General features: G+C 33.7%; 1 protein-coding gene across 12 annotated transcripts in view; it reads left to right on the plus strand.

Moving 5' to 3' along the window:
• Positions 1-20242, plus strand: part of YTHDC2 (YTH N6-methyladenosine RNA binding protein C2) — an 81591-nt gene that overhangs the window by 22745 nt on the left and 38604 nt on the right. For 11 of the 12 annotated variants that reach the window (XR_246540.4, XR_948288.3, XM_047417527.1 and 8 more), the window contains 10 exons: positions 2636-2743; positions 4530-4678; positions 5930-6065; positions 12103-12229; positions 12517-12582; positions 16743-16921; positions 17152-17248; positions 17329-17416; positions 17504-17584; positions 19614-19696. Coding sequence is in view for 9 of the 12 variants with exons in the window: in XM_047417527.1 (XP_047273483.1) it covers positions 2636-2743; positions 4530-4678; positions 5930-6065; positions 12103-12229; positions 12517-12582; positions 16743-16921; positions 17152-17248; positions 17329-17416; positions 17504-17584; positions 19614-19696 (1114 nt within the window). In the remaining 3 variants the exon portion in view is untranslated. Of the gene's footprint in view, positions 1-2635; positions 2744-4529; positions 4679-5929; positions 6066-12102; positions 12230-12516; positions 12583-16742; positions 16922-17151; positions 17249-17328; positions 17417-17503; positions 17595-19613; positions 19697-20242 lie in introns of all 12 variants that reach the window. The other variant, XR_001742200.3, reaches the window with a different exon arrangement.

Raw genomic sequence — 20242 nt, forward strand, 5'->3', positions numbered from 1 at the left:
GGCGTGAACCCAGGAGGCGGAGCTTGCAGTGAGCTGAGATTGTGCCACTGCACTCCAGCCTGGGTGACAGAGCAAGACTCCGTCTCAAAAAAAATAAATAAATAAAAATACAAAAGTTCTGTTTACTTCAGTGAAATAATACAAAAATATATATAGAAAAAGTTCACAATTGCCCCTATCCTTGTTCCATGTCCTACTTTTCTGATTTATGGATGTTAACAGTGTTATATATATTCGTTTTTACTTAATGTAAGAACACAAATGTATGCAAATATATACGTATTTATAACATTTACAAAAATTGGCTTTATGGATTTATGATTTATGGATGTTAACAGTGTTTTATATATATTTGTTCTTCATCTTCACAAAAATGTATGCAAATATATACACATTTATAACGTTTACAAAAATTGGTTTTATAAACATGAGCACATGGCTAATACATTATTTGCAATTTGCTTTATCATGAACAGTTTTCCAGTTTAGTAACCCTGGATCTAGTTCTTTATTTTAAGCACCTGCATAATAAAGTATTTCATAATATTGATGTACTATATTTATTTTACCATTTCTTTATTTTTGGATATTCAAGTTGGTTCTAGATCCCCCGCCTCGCCCCTGCCAACAATGTTATAATGAACATCCTTTTATGTATATCCTGATGTACTGGATTTCTAGGGATAGATTTCTGAAAGTGAATTTGCTAAATAAGAGTATATCTATTTTTAATTTTAACAGCTTTTGCCATTTTACTTTTCAAAAGGCTGAAATGATTTACATTTCTGAAGTGTATAAGGCTATTTATTTGAATTTTTACCGGTGTCGTTTGACATTAACCTAATTGCCAATCTGATATTCAAATTTTAGGCAAAAATCTTACTTAACTTTTCTGTGGTATGTTTTATGGTTGGCTCTCTCTCTTTTTTTTTTTTTTTTTTGTGAAATGCTCAGATGCTGTAGTTTGTTTGATAACATTGCTGCTTGCTAAACCTCATTCTTCATTATATCCCATGCTTTCTCAGTCTCCCCTGTGGGCTTCTCTTCTTTTACATGATGCTTAAATAGTGGTATTCTCTAGAATTATTCCCTTGATCCGTTTCCTTTTTTTTTTTTCTGTTCGTTCCGTCTTCCTTCCTTCCTTTCCCACTATTCCCATCCTCTTGTTTCCTGCCCTATGCTATACTCTACTAGGTATTGGAGATGCATAGTTTTCCTGGAAGCTCTCATTCATGCCCTGGGCTTCTATTTTTTCTTTTATACTGATGACTTCTGAATCTTTATTTTCAGTTGTTCTCCAGAGCTTTGGATTTAGATATTTCTAGTATGCCCCAAACTGAATACTTCATCTCTTTTGCAAAACCCTTTTCTCTTCTTGTGTTACCTGTCTTAGTTAATCATACTACTATTGACCTAATCACCTGAATCACAAACCTATAAGTTCTTAACTCCTTGTAATAATCTTGGGTGATCAGGGACATCAGATCTGTACATATGCTAATCGAAAGCTCATTTTTCATTTTACATGCCTAAAACCAAACCCCATTTCCCACCAGCAAACCTGTTCTTTTCAGGTTTCTTTGTTACCTCAGAGAATGACATTATCATTCAGATTTGCAAGCCAGACATCAAAGGACTATATTTGACACTTTATTTTTTTTCCATATCCAATATAATGCTGAGTTCTACGGATTTTACCTCCCGCCTAGCTCTAGAATTTGTCTGCTTCTTTTTTGGTTTTCACTATTATTAATCTCATTCAGGTTAACCTGAACTATTGCAGTAGCTGCTACTTGGCTTGACGTAGCATTCTGCTGTCTTTAAATCCATTCTCCATATTGCAGTCAGAGTGGTCTTCTTTGAAGTAGAATTCTGATGATGTCAAGCACTTTACTGAGCTTAAATCTTTGAATGACTTTTACCTCAGGATAAAGACATAAACCCTTAGTAAGACTTATCTTTTCCTCTTACCTCATCTTGAACGATATCCCTCTCCATTCCCACACTCCCACCATTTTTCAAGTAAGTTAGCCTTTTAGTTCCTTGAAACACCTTTAGGTCCTTGAAACTCCTTTCTAGCACAGGGACTTTGCACATGCTGTTTTTCATCATCATTATACACTTTTTATTCTTTTCATATGGCTTTGTTATTTTGTTTATCTTCTTGTTTCTCATTTTCTTAGTGAGGATACTTTCTTGATGTTGTCAAATCCCCCGTTACATACTGTCATGGTGTCTTGTACTTGTATCTCAGGACTCTTCACAACTCTATATTTACCTTCATATTCTGGATTTTTGGATTGATTTCTGTCTCTTCCACTAGCTTGCCTCCAGGGAACAGGAAATAGCTCTGTTTCCTCTTACAATTTCTACTTATAATACAAATGATATTGATGCCAGACACATGATAAGTAGGTAGTAAACACTAGAGGAAAAAACCCAAGCACACAAACAGTTGTCTAATAGTTGTTTGTAAGTCAAAGTTATAGTTAAAGGACAATATTATAAGAGTCACTTGAACTATGAAATTGCTTTTGGATATTATACTGAGATTCATTAACTTGGGATTTTCATGTTTTTATGTGAATTTTCTCCAAGATGCAAGTTGAGTATTTAATTTTTTTTTATTATTTAGTACAGGGAAGACCATTTGAAGTAAAAGAAATGTTTCTGGAAGATATTTTAAGAACAACTGGATATACAAACAAAGAAATGTTAAAATATAAAAAGGAAAAACAGCAAGGTAAATTTTTTAATAAAAGAAATATAAAAGAAATTACTATTGATAATGACTTTGGAGTACTCCATCCTTACATTGTGGAGGTACAAGGACACTTGAAAGTGTTTTTCTCTTGTATATAATTGTATAACCTTATATTGGAATATTGTCCCAAATATTCCTTTGCTTTCTGGTTTGTGTCCAGAAGTTATAATCTGTGGAGAGAAACTGAAAGTGGGTGCCAGAGTTGAGGAGGTGTCTATATCCAAACATTCAGCCACCTTTTAAGGAGATAGAAGAATATATGCTGGCTGCCCACAGCATATCTCATAGGGAAGGACTGGGAAGTGAATGGGAGGGAGTGAAAAAAGTAGTATGTGATTAATAACAAACTTTGATAAAAATGTTGAGTTTTCCAAATCTTGATGATGTTACAGGATTTCATTGATACTTTGAATTTAGCATTATTTTCCTGTTAATACGTCTCTTGTAATGACATATTTCAGCTTTTGAATTAGGGTTCAGATTTCTTTTTCTTAATTTTAACTTCATTATTCATCATAGAAGACTTGGCTTCAAGCTTTGATACCTTGTTTATTCTGTATGCCCTTGGACAAAAATCTGAACTCCTTTGGATTTTCCCCTTGAAAAATGTAATCAGCAATGCTGATTTCATTGGGAAGCACTGAATTACTGATATGTAAGTTGTAAAACTCCTAGATCTTGAAACTTAAAAAAAAAAATTAAAAAAAAATTTTTTTAGAGACAGGTTCTTGTTCTATTACTCAGGCTGGAGTGCATTGGTGCAATCATGGCTCACTGCAGCCTCGACCTCCTCATCTCAAGGGATCCTCCCACCTCAGCCTCTTGAGATGTAGACCACTGTGCCCAACTAATTTTTAAAATATTTTGTAGATACGCAGTCTAGTTACATCGCCCAGGCTGGTCTTGAACTCCTGGCCTCAAGCAATCCTCTTGCCTCAGTGTCCTAAAGTGGAACTACAGGCATGAGCCACCATGTCCAGCTGAAACATTTGAAGATGAAAATTATATATAATTGTATCTCAGAAAACTAGCGTGGTGGTAGAACTTCAACAAATGGTTTTCTACAAAGTGCTGTATGAATATTGGTCATTGATTTAAACAATAGTTATAACATGGATAAAAATACTCTTAATTCTGGACTTACTTAGAAGTAAACTTATTAGTAGGACTTGGAACAATAGGTGAATGCATGAATGTATTAGCCCATTTTCACACTGCTGTAAAGATACTACCTGAGACTTGGAAATTTATAAAGAAAAGAGGTTTAATTCACTCACAGTTCTGCATGGCTGGGGAGGCCTCAGGAAACTTAGTCATGATGGAAGGCAAAGGGGAAGCAAGGACCTTCTTTACATGGCAGCAAGAGAGAGAAGTGCAAGCAAGGGAAATACCAGATGCTTATAAAACCATCAGATCTCGTGAGAACTCACTATCATGAGAACAGCATGGGGGAAACTGCCCCCATGATCCAATCACCTCCCACCAGGTCTTTCCCTCAACACCTGCGAATTATAATTCAAGATGAGATGTGGGTGGAGACATAAAGCCTAACCATATCAATGAAGTTTTCAAGCAGTTTCATGTGTCTTTTTGTTTCAGCATAACACATTTTTATTGAATATTCTTAATATATTTTTTAAAAGTAACTACAGAATAAGACCAACTTTTAAGAGATACCAGATTCCCATAATTTATTTAAACAAAGGAATACATTTCAAAAAGGAAATGATTTGTCTACATATTCTTTCTTTGATAATTAATTTAGAAGAGAAACAACAAACCACACTTACAGAATGGTACTCAGCTCAAGAAAATAGTTTCAAGCCTGAATCTCAGAGGCAGAGAACTGTTCTAAATGTGACTGATGAGTATGACTTACTGGATGATGGTGGTGATGCTGTCTTCAGTCAGCTGGTATGACCTCCCTGGTTTCCCACTCATATTTTGTGTGAAAATTGTGTAGGTTAAAGAACATTTTATGAGCTTATAATTTTTTTTTTTTTTTTTGAGATGGAGTCTGGCTCTGTGGCCCAGGCTGGAGTGGAGTGGCGTGATCTCGGCTCACTGCAAGCTCCGCGTTCCGGGTTCACGCCATTCTCCTGCCTCAGCCTCCCAAGTAGCTGGGACTATAGGCGCCCGCCACCATGTCCAGCTAAATTTTTGTATTTTTAGTAGAGACGGGATTTCACTGTGTTAGCCAGGGTGGTCTTGATCTCCTGATCTCGTGATCCACCCGCCTCGGCCTCCCAAAGTGCTGGGATTACAGGAGTGAGCCACTGCACCCAGCCAAGAGATTGTAATTTTTTACTGCATAATTGAATGGTAATTCTCTTGGTTTATTTTAGACCACAACCAATTTTTCAGAGCAACTTTCTACTCTTTAAAAAAATAATTTACCCTTTTTTTGAGCATGTGATAGTATGTAATGCAGATATGTTTGCAGTTTTCTACTAGTGTTTAAAGTTGTAATGTATCCAAATGAACTGTACATGAGTTTTTAAAAATACTTTTAAAGAATATTTAAAAATTGGTAATAAAAATTGTTATTTAACATCTTTATAGATATGCACGCTAAATATACTATATATATAATGATATATATCCTATATGTTTATAGGATTATAACACATGCTATATAAAAAAACATATAGTATAGACTTATTTGGGTCATGGAACAGCATTTTGACCATGTATATTTGTGGTTCTTAAGACTGGCTGTATATTTTGTCACCTGAGGAGCTTTTAAAGCCCTATGGAATCTAGCACCCTACCAACAAGAGATTCTGATGCACTTGCTCTGGGGTGGGACCTGGCATCAGTATTAAAAAGCTCCAGGTGATACTTCCCTTGATGTGCAGTTGGGAGAGAGAACTACTGATCTGTATGTGCATTTAACAACATCATATTGGAAGCACAATTAACATCGTGACTAGATCATAGTCCTTTGTTGACAAACTCATTCTCAGATAAAAGTTGAGTATAAGGACTAGATACTGTATTGTGAGTGATAATGTTTGTGATGAAAGGAGAAATTTTTTATGTCAAAGCATTTGCTATATTATCATAGGATTAGTAGTCCTGATGGCCATTGTGGCCATCTTATGTTCTTTGCAAGCAAATGTTAGGTAATTTATGATAATTTATGATTTTTACTGTTTTTTGTAGACTGAAAAAGATGTGAATTGCCTTGAACCATGGTTAATAAAGGAAATGGATGCTTGCCTTTCTGATATATGGCTACATAAAGATATTGATGCCTTTGCTCAGGTCTTTCATCTCATTTTAACTGAAAATGTTAGTGGTAAGTTTATTTTAATTTTAAAAAATTACCCTTACAGTTATTTATGGTGGAAGTATAGTTTAATTCAAAACGTATGTACTACCAATAATTGCACAACCAAAAATTTTATTTTTTAAAAGTATTTATTTTATTTCAAATGTACAAATCAGGATCTTCTTGCTAGCACAGCATAGTAGAAATAAATATTGTGTTAAATCAGATTCTTAAGCTAATGTCTCCATTGCAGTTTGAAGAGCTGTGTGATTACATGACAATTATGTGCAAAAATGCTGTTATGTGTATGTGTTGTGTATATACTCTTGTCTTTCCCTTCCTTGGAAAGGATTTAGATGTCAAGTATTTATTATTTCACCTGAAGCCCTCAGCATTATAATTGTAATTATTATTGATTACTTTCTTCTTGAAATATTTTACTCAGTTAACTTCCAGTATTTCATACTTGGCTTATTTTCTTCATATTTCCCTGGCTCTAACTTCTTGGTTTTCTTGGCAAGATCTTTTTCTTTTTTTCTGACCTGTAAATATGAAATCTCCTAGGTCTCAATCCTTAAGACCTTAATTCTATTTATACTTAATCCTTAAGTGGATCTCAAATAGTCATTGCTTTAAATATCTATTTTAAATGACCCCTAACTTTACATCTCCAGACCTCATCTACCCCCAGATTTAAATATACCTTATCACTTGTTATCTCCAGTTGGATGTCTGTTAGGTGAATAAAATTGGATACTCCTCAAACAACTTCTGATCCCCTCCCTACGTACCTTCCTCTCAACCTGCACTTTTCTTGTGTTTCCCTTTTCAGTAAATGGTCACTATCATTCACCTAGTTGCTAAGGCAGCAAAGCATACAGAAAGTCTGCTGTCATATTGCACATATAATTCATTAGCAAATCCTATTTACTTTGCATTCTAAAATAAATCCTGAATATGACCACTTTTCACTTCCCCTACTGTACATTTCACTCCCCCTACTGTACATTTCACTCCCCTAGTCCAAGCTAGCCTCTCTTCTGGACTATTGCAGTAGCCCGTTAACCATTTCTGTTTTTATGTTACTGCAGTCTGTTCTCCGCAGAAAAATAAGACTGATCCTTTCATAAAGGAAATTGGATCATTCCACTTGCTTGTTCTCAACTCTCGCAGGCTTCCAGTTACACTGTGGATAAAAATCAAAGTCCTTTCCATGATTAGGCCTCTGGCTTCCTCCTTGATCTTATTTTTTGCCACTTGCCTCCTTGTTCACTGTGCCTAGACACACTTATCTCCTTGATATTCTTCATGTATGCCAACACATTCCCTTTGGGACTTTGTTTTGTTGTTTCATATGCCTAGAATACTATCTCCACTGGTAATCACATGGCCCAATGCCTACTTATTTAGGTCTCTGCTTACACATTGCCTTCTCTTTTCTGACCACCTTACTAAAGTTGTACCATTTTCTCACGATATTTCCTTACTCTCCTTTATTATTCTTTATTGTACTTTCATTACCTGTCATGTATTTTTTATTTTTCATTACTTATTTCATCTACTAGAATGAAAACTACATGAGGGCAGAAACTTTGTCAGTTTTACTTATCTCTGTGTCACCAGAGATTCATCGTTTATTAAGTGCTGAAAAATCTTTGTTGAATAATGATATTATTATTATTGTTATTTTTGAGACAAAGTCTCTCTCTGTCATCAGGCTGGAGTGCAGTGGTGTGATCTTGACTCACTGCAACCTCTGCCTCCCGGGTTCAAGTGATTCTTCTGGCTCAGCCTCCTGAGTAGCTGGGACTACAGGTGTGCGTCACCATGCCCAGCTAATTTTTTTGTATTTTTAGTAGAGACGGAGTTTCACCATGTTGGCCAGGATGGTCTCAATCTCTTGACCTTGTGATCCGCCTGCCTCAGCCTCCCAAAGTGCTAGAATTACAGGCATGAGTCACCACACCCAGCCCAAATAATGATATTACTTTTAAGCATCTTTACCACATGATAATCTGTTGGAACATGTTTAGTGACAGGAAGTTCACTACCTTTCTTTTGAATTTGAATTGTTTTAGTAGTTAACTTTTTAGTATGTTGATGTGAAATCTAACTACATAGCATCTCCCTTTTTCTGCTTCTGGAGTGAACATATGTATTTATGCCTGACAGACTTCTAGGTATATGAAGATGATTATTCTTTTTCTTTTAAATTTTTTGTTTTTTTTTTGGGCTGACTGTACCTATTACTTCAACTGTTCTTTAATATAACATGATATCTGGTCCCCTCCTTCCCTGGTCTGCCTTCTCTGGATATGTTCTATTTTATCCCTTTTGAAAAGCATAGTATCCAGTTCTGAGTGTTAATCTCTTAGTAACCATCTTAGCCTAAAACCTTCTACTCTTTACTGGTATTAATTCAGCCAACCCCATTGTCATATTGATTCATATTGTTTTTGAAATTTTTAGTTCTTTTTTTAAACTTACGATTTTATTGAATTAAATTATTTAATCATCATGTACTTGTTTTGAATTTTTTTGAGCTTGAGATATTCTGTTTATTCATTATAAATTTTATCTTAAAGTTAGATTTGGCCCGTTGTTTCTGCCTAACAATTTTTTAAAAAATTCTAATTGTTATCTATTGCATTAATAAGCTTTCTCTGTTTGTCAATTTGAGGTGTCTGGGTCAATTACCAAGCATGTGGTATGCTGCAAGGGACTAGGTCAATATTTGGGTGTGGTTGTTCAAGCAGTTATAATCCTACACATCTTCTAGTCTAACTTCTTAAAAAATAAGTGAGGGTTTTTTGACTTTTTTTTTCTCTTTGTAAATGTGTGTTGGCTCCTATTGATTTATTTTTTAAAGCTCATTATTCTTTTTTGTTTTGTTTTGTTTTGTTTTGTTTTGTTTTGTTTTGTTTTGAAACAGGGTCTCACTTTGTCACCCAGGCTGGAGTGCAGTGGTGCTATTGTGGCTCACTGCAGCCTTGACTTCTGGGCTCAGGTGATTCTCCCACCTCAGCCTCCAGAGCTTTGGATTTAGATACTTCTAATATGCCCCAGACTGAATACTTCATCTCTTCTGCAAAACCTGTTTCTCTTCTTTTGTTGAAGAGCTGGCCAGGCTGGCTTTGAACTTCTGGGCTCAAGCGACCTGCCCACCTTTGCCTCCCAAAGTGCTGGGATTACAGACATGAGCCACTGTGCTGGGCCCTCATTATTGATTTTTTGAAAAATAATTGATCTCCATTTTTTTTTTTTTTTTTTTTTTTTTTTTTTGAGACGGAGTCTCGCTCTGTTGCCCAGGCTGGAGTGCAGTGGCGGGATCTCGGCTCACTGCAAGCTCCGCCTCCCGGGTTCACGCCATTCTCCTGCCTCAGCCTCCCAAGTAGCTGGGACTACAGGCGCCCGCCACTACGCCCGGCTAATTTTTTGTATTTTTAGTAGAGACGGGGTTTCACCGTTTTAGCCGGGATGGTCTCGATCTCCTGACCTCGTGATCCGCCCGCCTCGGCCTCCCAAAGTGCTGGGATTACAGGCGTGAGCCACCGCGCCCGGCCTGATCTCCATTTTTAAAAGTAACTTTTTGGATTTGAAAGTGTAGATATTTGTTCATCTGCAGTTTTCTTGCGTTCTTTCTTTTTCCATTATTTTAAAAAATATTTACTCTGAAGAGTTTAGCAATCTTACTTGAAAGTTAAGGAATTTAAATTCTGAAAACAGTGACTTTAAAATATTTATGATGCATTTTAAGTATTTAAGTATTATCCTTAGCTTTCTTCCTGATATTTCTTTAGTGAATACTAGACTGTTAATTTGATTATGGTCATCCTGTGTAGACTCAGGTCTCTCCTCTGCTCTTATGTACAGTTTGTACATTTCCCAGAGTCCAGTATTCTAATGTTTTAAGCCATGTGAGGAAAACTAAAATGTTACAGTAGCTCAATCATTCACTTCTCATCTTTTTGTTTCATTTCTAAAATCTCAACCCTCAATTTGCACCAGAACTGAAAATATGTCATATGATTTAGGAAACTCTGGGCTTCATAGATTTCTTTTTAGTAGCATCATTTTCCCCATGATCATGTAGAAGCAGCTAATAATCAGTTAAGACTTGACATTCTCTGTCATACTTACTGTATCTATTGCTGCATTACAGATGATTCTAACACTTAGAAGCCTGAAACATTTATTATCTCCATAGTTTCTGAGAGTCAAGAATCTGGGAGTGGTTTAGCTGAGTGGTCTGGCTCCAAGTCTCTCATGAGGTTGCGGTTAAACTGTTCGTAGGGACTACATTCATCTGAAGGTTTTTGGGGCTGGAGAGTATGCTTTCAAGAAGCCTCACTTACATAGCTTTTGGCAGGAGTCCTCAGTTTGTTGCTGGCTGTTGGCAGAATAGCCATGAGTTCTTGTCAACTGTCCTTCTCAATAGGGCTGCCTTATTCTACCTGTGAGGTGCAGCTGGCTTCTCTGAGAGTGATTCAAGAGAGAAAGAAAAAGAGCAGGAGGAAGTTGTAGTTACTTTTTATGACCTAGTTTCCAGACTTGCACACCACCTCTTTCACGTTATTCTGTTCATTAGAATGAGTCACTTAGTCCAGTTTATATTCAGGGAGAAGGGAATTAGGCTCCACCTCTTGAAGGGAGGAGTGTTAAAAATGTTTTAAATGTTTCACATTTATTCATACCCTTCTGCTCAAAATACACACAGTTTGATGCTGTTCTCCAAGGCCATGAATTGAATATTCAGTTGAAGAAGTAATTTGCATACAATGAGTACAGATCAGAATAAATTGATCTTTTAAAATGCCTGACCATCCCAGACTTATTGAATCTGAATCTCTGAGTAAGGTATGGCTATCTGTGCTTTTAAAAATACAAAGCAGAAACAACAACAACAAACCCACCTCAAAAAACAAACCCCAAAGCAAAATAAAAATACATGCCATTATATATTTGTCCAAATCCGTAAAATGCACAAAACCAAGAGTGAATCCTAATGTAAACTATGGACTTTGGTTGATGTGTCAGTGCAAGTTCATCAGTTGTAAAAAATGTTCCACTCTGGTGGGGGATGTTGATAATGGGGGAGGCTATACATGTGTGAGGCAAGGGACATATGGGATATACTTTTTATTTTCCTCTCAGTTTTGCTGTGAATCTAAAACTTGTTCTAAAAAAATAGTCTTAAAAAGAAAGCCTGAGGCAATTTTCTTGTCTCTGCCTCACTTTAAAAGAACACTGATGTATATTGATAATGGATACCATGTTTCAGAGTGTTTATTAAATAGAAGATAATTGGGTATACATACTGTATATGAAAGATTAAAATTTTCCTTTTGTAGTTATCTTAAATTTTACTGTTGAGGGTTTTTTAAATGAAATCTTTCTGAAATTACCAATTTTGTAATTTAAGCAAATTAATGCTAAGCAATTATATTGAATTGCTTGAGAAATATATTCTAGGAAGAAACTTCAATAGAACTTTAATTATTTTTCTAATGTAAGGGTTTTATGGGAAATAAACTTTCTGTCAGTGTTAATCCCATTAAGTGTCTTATCAAATAGCCTTGAATGGGGGATTAAAAGCAAAGTAAAATAACAACCAAACATTGTCTCAAACTTTGCATTTGAAGCTTTTAAGTATTCATTACTAGTTACTGATGAAAATTAACTTTTAAATTATTTAATTATGTCTTGTCATTTGGTGAACAAGGTAATATCTAGATTTAGGAAGATTATTTAAGGTTATGCAAGTTAATAGCTTTCCTTTTCTGTTGAAATAATATAGATGAGCTTAAAACAGTTTAACATCGATCTTTCCTTCTCCTACCTTCCAACCAACAGTCTTTATTCAATTTACACTAGACATATCATAACAGATTGCTGTAAGTGATCTAAGTTAAGGGTTATGTAGTGCTGTCATTATGTAGTTAAGGAGCAACTCTCAGGCTAATTATCCTGAAACTCAGTTCTGCTATTTCAGATTTTTTAAAGAATGAAAATGGTTTGAAGTACTTTGGAAATTTAAGTTTTATTTATCTTTTCCTTTTTTTAGTTGATTACAGACATAGTGAAACCAGTGCAACAGCTCTGATGGTTGCTGCAGGACGTGGCTTTGCAAGTCAAGTAGAACAGTTAATCAGTATGGGAGCCAATGTCCATAGTAAAGCATCAAATGGCTGGTAATTTTAAACTACGTTGATTCTTCATATATCTTTGTATAGCTACACATATCTTTTTTTGTTTTCTTATGTTTGTCTTTATATTAAAAACTATTGTGTAATAATTGCTGGTGAATTTCTGTTTTAATGGGTTAATAATTTTGAATGACTTGTTTTTTAACTATAATTTATCTTATTTTTTATTTAAAAATTTTTTTGAAAAGACAGGGTCTTGATGTTGCCCAGGCTCATCATGAACTAGTTTTACAATTTTGATGACATCTTATATATCCTTTGAATTTTGGCAGGATGGCATTGGATTGGGCTAAACACTTTGGGCAGACTGAAATTGTGGATCTTCTAGAATCTTACAGGTAAAACTTTGTACTATTTTAAATTAATTCTACCGTCTCTTAAAAAAGAGCTTCACCATATAAATTATGGGCTATTCAAATGTAGACCATTTATAGTCTTTTATCCAGAGATTTTTTTTTGTGATTCTAAGGAAATTTTCTGTCTGATCTACCATGGTATAATATTTGTCTTATTTTAAGAAATCAGTAGAGGGATTTCCAATTAAACATGGTAGGTACAACATAAGTATCTCTGCATTTTCTCAAACCTTTTACATTTCTCAAAACCTCACTAAAATGACAATGAAGCAATATAAAGAAATTTAAAAGGTGTAAACCAAAGTCAAAGAGAATGGAAGAGGACAGGGCAACTGATAGAAGATGTTAATTTTGGGATGATAGATAGCTGATTGATTGACTTAGCAGAACTAAGAAAACTCACAGTGCCAATGAGAAACACTCATTTTAGCTTTGAAACTCCTTAGAGGCTTGTTCAGTGGCCTTTGAGTGAAGCAGTAAAAAAAGAGTTAGTTATCAAAGAGAAAACTTAGAATACAAAACTATAATAAAAGATATTGCATTCATGCAATAAAAAGTGTGCTATCAAAAAGGAACAGAACACAAATCTTTGTTCAGATTTTGTCTTCATGAGGCCTACCCAAATTTGCCGTATCTGATATTACAATCTACCCCCCACGCAATGTCCATCCTCTTTAACCTGTTCTACGTATTCTTTTTTTCTCCAGAAGCCCTACCACCCTCTGATACACTATGTAATATACTTGTTCACTGTTCTATTGATTTATTGTCTATCTCTTCTCCCTACCAGAATGTAGTAAGCTTATTGTCTGCTTGTTCAAGAACAGCAACTAGATGTAGTAGATGTGCAGTGAGTGTTTGTTGAATGAATGAATAAATAAATAATTCTTGTAAATTAAAAATATGATAGCAGAAAAAAAGAAGAGTTACAAGATAAAGTTTAGAAAATTGCTTTCAGAGCAGGAAAATTGTAGAAAAAACATAAGAAAATTTGCTTCCTATGTACTCCTTTATTAGGAAACTGTTGGAGAATGTGCTTCACAAAAAAGAAGTAAAAAGAAAAACAAAAATTGGGGGAGAAAAAAAAAACGGGTAAAACCGGGCAGGTACAGCACAGGGGATAGGTGAAAGGAATGCTCAGGATGCTGGTACAGAGGATTGTTTTGATGACACCTGTGTCTAGTAGGCCTGATCGCATAGGAACAGAAGATGTGGGGCTCTAGAGGGAGGTCTCTGTGGGGGAAAAATTTACCTGGCATTGTCAATCATATTAAAAAGCTTTATGAATCTGTTAGATAATTTGGGAAGAATTACTATCAGATCACAGAAAACTAAGCAAATAAAAATTAGACAGTTGTTACTCTAGGAAAAACAAAAAGTTACACAAGAAAGGAGGTATAATCATAGTATATTATTAGGCTAAGCAGTAAATGTTTACCAGTCATAGTAAAGTAAAGGCTGAATGAAGATTTAACAAAAATTGTAGGAACTGGTGTGGGTGGAAAGTGTAGGGAAGTGGAAGTGGTAACCTCATTTTTCATTAGTTGGAGGTTCGCAGATAATGACTACGTTGTTAAAACAATAAATAGCAGAAAATGAATGTTGCTTAGAAATATGACAGCAAATACTAAAAAGGAATGGCTAAAACAATAGAATAGTCCTAAGCAGTGTGACTAGGAGTTTTTGTTATAACTTCTATAAAACCATTTACCACCACTATGTATATGTATTGCTTTGATTTAGCAAAAAAAGAAAAATCACAAGGGAATCCTGTAAAACCAATCGAATTAATTGTCTTTTAGATAGAAATTTTAGATAAATTTACATTAGATATTTAAATAAATTATGAAGCTTTCAGATTAGATATTTAAAGAAAATTTTGAATATATGTTTTATAATACATTGAAAGCTTCTGTTTTCAACCTTTAGAGACTCAAAAAAGAAAACAATGGAGCCTGAAGTTAAAATATATTAAAATATCTGTTATTCAAGAGCATATAAAATGTTTTATTTGACCTGGGTTTTTGTACTTAATTTTATAGATGTAAAATTGGAAATGTAGTCTCAGACATTTGAAATTAGTTGTGACATTGAGTCTCAAAATTCTTGGTAGGTTTAAATGCTATTTCTGATATGGTAGGTTTAGTTGTCATTTCAATAGTAGCACCCAGAACTTGCAGTCCTTTTATTGTTAACACTTTGAATGTTCCAGACATTCTTATGGTGTTAAGTAAAGCTCACTAGATACTGCAGGTTACCAGGTAAAGCGTTTATCTGGATAATATTTTAATTATCCTGGCTAACTGGGCTTTCTTTTTATTTGATAGATCATATTATCAATTATAAATTTCAGGTATTTAAAATTGAATATATTATTATGTTTACTGGATTATTGATAATTTATATCCAAAAGTTATAGCTTTAAACAGAATATAATGTCTTCTTCATTTATGTGTTAAAAATTAAAAAACAATAAACTTACAGTGTTTTAAAGTAGATCTTAAAATTTATAAGAGCTGAGAACACATGGACACAGGGAGGGGAACATCACACACCAGGGCCTCTTGAGGGGTTCCGGGATAGGGGAGGGATAGCATTAGGAGAAATACCTAATGTAAATGAAGGGTTGATGGGTGCAGCAAACTACCATGGCACGTGTATACCTATGTAACAAACCTGCATGTTGTGCACATGTATCCCAGAACTTAAAGTATAATAAAACATTTACAAGAGCCAATTATTAAGTTGTAGAAGTTTAATATTTTTCCCATTGAAAATAGTCTTACGTTATTTTTCTGCTAAATTCTTTAAGAGAGATTGGATTTATTTGAACTTCCTAGAAATTCTGTTGATAATTGCTAGTGATAGCAGTAGTTTACATTTTTACATATAAGATGAAGAAGCAAGGCATTTATTTCAGTAATTTATGTTGATTCTTGCTTTTGGAAAATAGCATAATCAACTTGCTTTTAGTATAGAATTTTCTAATTAACAGTCATGTTAAGTTGGTACCTACTGAGTTTTTTAAAAATGTGAACTATACATCAGAATATTGTTTATAGTAGTAAACAATTAGATACAACCTATTAAGAAAATATAAATGATAGCTGAAAGTTTGTGGTTTTTAACAGTTTTATTGAGATATAATTAATATACCATATAATTCACCCATTTAGGTGACCAATTCAATGGTTTTTCATATGTTCACAGACTTATGCAATCATCACCACAATCAATTTTAGAACAGTTTCATCACCACAAAAAGAAACTTGTACCCATTAGGTGTCTCTCCCTATTCCGCCCCAACTCTCCTAGGCCTCCTCCAGCTTTAGACCAACCACTAATCTACTTCCAGTTTCTATAGATTTGTCTATTTTGGACATTTTATATAAATGAAATCATGTGATATGTGGTTTTTGTGATTGGCTTTTTTCAGTTAGCATAAAATATCCATGTTGTAGCACTATTTTTATGACTAATACATATTCTATGGATATACCAAGGTTTGTTTGTATATTTGTCAATTGATGAACACTTAGGTTGTTTCCACTTTCTGACTATGAATAATACTGGTATGAATATTTGTGTACAGATTTTTATGTGGATATATTTTTTTCATTTCTCTTATATATACACCTAGGAGTGGAATTGCTGGGGCATATGGTAACTCTATGTTTAACCTTTTGAAGAACTGCCACATTGTTTTCCAAAGCAGCTTTACCATTTTACATTTCCACCAGCAATGCATGAGGGTTTAAATTTCTCCACACCCTCTCCAACACTTGTTATTGTCTGTCTTTTTGATTGTAGTCATCCTAGTTGGTGTGAAGTGGTATTTCATTGTGGTTTTGATTTGCATTTCCCTGATAGCTAATGATGTTGAACATCTTTTCATGTGCTTATAGGCCATTTGTATATTTACTTTGGAGAAATGCCTTCAGATTGTGCTTTTCTAAAAGCATTCATTGCCAAATTTTACTTTGAATAATGTGCTTGAAATCAAAACATGAATCATATTATAGCTAGGACATTAAGTGTCACTTACCTTACCTTCCTTAGGGAATATTGGAAATTTGAAGGACATAAGGATTACTTTTGTTAATGGAAATTGACTTTGTCTTTTTTTTTTTTTTTTTTTTCAGTGCTACACTGGAATTTGGAAATCTAGATGAAAGTTCTCTGGTTCAAACAAATGGAAGTGACCTCAGTGCTGAAGACAGAGAGCTCCTGAAAGCTTATCATCATAGTTTCGATGATGAAAAAGTAGACTTGGATTTGATCATGCATCTTCTATACAATATCTGCCATAGTTGTGATGCTGGTAAATACGTGTTGTCTAAAAGAACTGGAGCAAAATATATACTTTAAGAATTAATATTTTAAGTGTACAAATTTTTATATAATTGCACTGATAGTAGTAAGTGAATAATCTCCTGTCATCTTATGATAGTTTACCAGTACTTGAAAACATGTGATACAGATTTTTATAATTCTGTTGATTGCCTCTGATTCACAATGAGATTTAATATTAAAAAGTCATTCTTCTCCAAGGTGCAGTACTAATTTTTCTGCCTGGATATGACGAAATTGTTGGACTGAGAGATCGCATCCTGTTTGATGACAAGCGGTTTGCTGACAGTACACATAGGTAAGGGCTAAAGCCTTATATCTGTTGCTTAAAATAACGGACAGGTCTTATAGTATGTTTTCTCTTTCAATTGTCTGCAGATACCAAGTCTTTATGCTTCATTCAAATATGCAAACATCCGATCAAAAGAAAGTATTAAAAAACCCACCTGCAGGTGTTCGAAAAATAGTAAGCTTCATAAAATCTTCTTTTTAACACTTTCATTAGTTATTTTTTCTGTTTTTTTATTAACTTTAAAGTAATATCTTGTTGCAGATTCTTTCCACCAATATTGCTGAAACCAGCATCACAGTCAATGATGTTGTCTTTGTTATTGATTCTGGTAAGGTGAAAGAGGTATGTATGGGTAAGTTGTAGTTTTACTTAAATGAAGAAGATTAAGTTCTACTTCAACAAATACTTTTATTTATTATTTAGTTGTTTTTCTTTTAATTTTACCTCTACTCAAGACAGCTTGGACCAGCGCATGCTTTTATAAGCAGAATTTACGAAAAATGTCTGGTTCTAGATAAATTTAACATACTAAATATTGATTTTACTAAATATTCTGCCTTAAATAATTCAGTATATAGAATCAATTTTTGTTATTTTAACAAAGTATACAAAAATGTAGCTCTGCTCACCAAATACTAGGAAGAAAGTAAAGGGTTTGGTTAGTTATAGTGAAAATGTTGTCACACAGTATGGGAATTTGATTACATATTTTTTATGTTTTCCTTCTACATATGCACATGGATTATGTCTTTGTTCACTGTTAAATCTTTAGTGCCTCACCTATAGCAGGTGTTCAAAAGATACTCAGTTCAAGAGAACCATGCTGAAAGAAAGCAAAGAAATAGATAAACCATGGGATAACCAGCAGCTAAATTGGACTTAACACTTGCTTTTGTAAAAAAAAAGTTTCATTGGAACTCAGCTAGTCTACTTTTACCTTTTCTCTATGGTTGCTGCCTTCATACTGCAAGGCAGATTGGAGTATTTGTAACAGAGACCCTCTCAAAGCCTAAAATATTTACTATTTGAAAGTCCTTTTCAAAAACAGCCAACCTTTGTTATAAAAAAAAAAAAGCCATTTATTTCCTTTTAGTACTGGAATGCCCAGCAGTTGTCCATGTTCCTAACTTTTGGTAGATAACATTCGCTGAAAAAATGAAAGTGGTAAAGATAATTGATTTTTCAAGGGAAGACATATTACTCATGTGTGGAAAGCAAATTATATCTATTTAGTGGATAAAAATGATCGTTTTTAATGTGAAAAAAGTAATTGCCTTATGTTTTCAATGTAATTTTAAGGAATATTTTATAGAAAATAAAATTTTATTATAAAAATTGGCCATATGCTTTATAATTGAATAAAGGTGGGATAAATTTTATTTTTATATAATAGTACATTAATGAGTATTATCACTAAAAATCTTAATGGTGAGCCAATGAAAATTCAGATTTTATTGCCCTAAAATTACCTAAAGTGGATAAAGTGGGTTTTGAATATTTTAGAAAGTTCCTTTAGGTGTTACTTATTTATTAAGTAACTGAAATTTAAAACATGGGTAGTGTCAAAAGTTATTTAACATACAAAATTGACAAATGTAATGTCATATTAAAAACCAAATAAGCTGTTTTCTAAAAATTTTATAAACTATTATGCAAACATTTTTATTTGCTCTATGCAGTTATTTTATGAAAGGGAAAGTATAAGTACCGAGTGACTGAAATACATGTTCTAGTTAGGCTTGTATTTCTTTAAAATATTTCTCTACAATAAATTTTCACTGTAGGTTATTTGAATAAGTATGTGGATAACAATGGTTCTTTTTTACTTTCTTCATTGTAACGTTCGGGAAAGGCTAACTTTGTTAGTAGCTCAGCAGGAAGTAAAGTGGAAGTGGTTAAAAATATTTCTCTTTGGGATAAGATTATTGATTGTTATTCTTACTCCACAAGGTTAGGTCCCTGAAAAGTATTTCAGAAAATGTCTTTCCTTGATCTTCTTATTCTGCACAGTGATGCAAATCTGATAGGAAAGTGACCTCAAGGGAATAGATCCGTTCTCTCCAATCTTGATGTCTTATGAGAACTGGCTGCCATTATCCAGCTGTGGCAGAGAGCAACAAATAGCTCAGCAGAGCACAGAATGGAGAAGTTTTACGCTCTTCTGAGTTTAGTTTTTAAATCCTTTTTTCTTAGTATGTTTGTAACCAGAAAATCAGGGTTTATTAAAAATCAGTACTGCTGTTTTAATTATTTAATCAAGAGAGGACTTTGAATTAAACTTTTGGCATGTTAAAATATGTTGATAACATTCTTGCTATTACCTTTTAAATACCTTTTATATTCTAACATAAAGATGGTTTAAATATTACAGAAATCCTTTGATGCTCTGAATTTTGTTACAATGTTAAAAATGGTATGGATTTCCAAAGCTAGTGCCATACAGCGGAAAGGCAGGTAATGTATATTTAATGTATATTCATTCAATTGCCTGTAAAATGGAAACGTTTTTATATGCATTACACATTTATCATATATTCCATGTTCAATAAAATAGTAGTTTTCATGTTAAAATTTTTATATTATTTTTGCAAAGCAAGCCATTTTGATACTTCCTTAAAAGTTGAATGTAGGTTATGTTAAAATTAAAAACTTTTGCCTAGTTAAATGTACATTCAGATGTAAGAAGCTTAAAAAACAAAACCAAAAATTCTAAACATATGCAATGTAGGACAAAGAGCTAATTTCCTTATTATATAAAGAAGCTCTTTGAAATCAACTAAAGGCCAATAATCCAGTTAAAATGGATAAAGGGCACAAATAGGCAATTTACCAAAATAAAAAATATGCATGTCCTACTAATACATTAACCTCACATATACTACCTAATATGTATCTAAATAAATGCAAATTAATGAGGTATTATTTTTTGAATCTCAGATGGGCATTGATGAAAATGTTTAACAGTATGTACAACATAGAGGAAAAACATGGGCCAATAGT

The sequence above is a fragment of the Homo sapiens genome, chromosome 5 (genome assembly GCF_000001405.40).
Source record: "Homo sapiens chromosome 5, GRCh38.p14 Primary Assembly".
In the NCBI taxonomy this organism is placed as follows: Eukaryota; Metazoa; Chordata; class Mammalia; order Primates; family Hominidae; genus Homo; species Homo sapiens.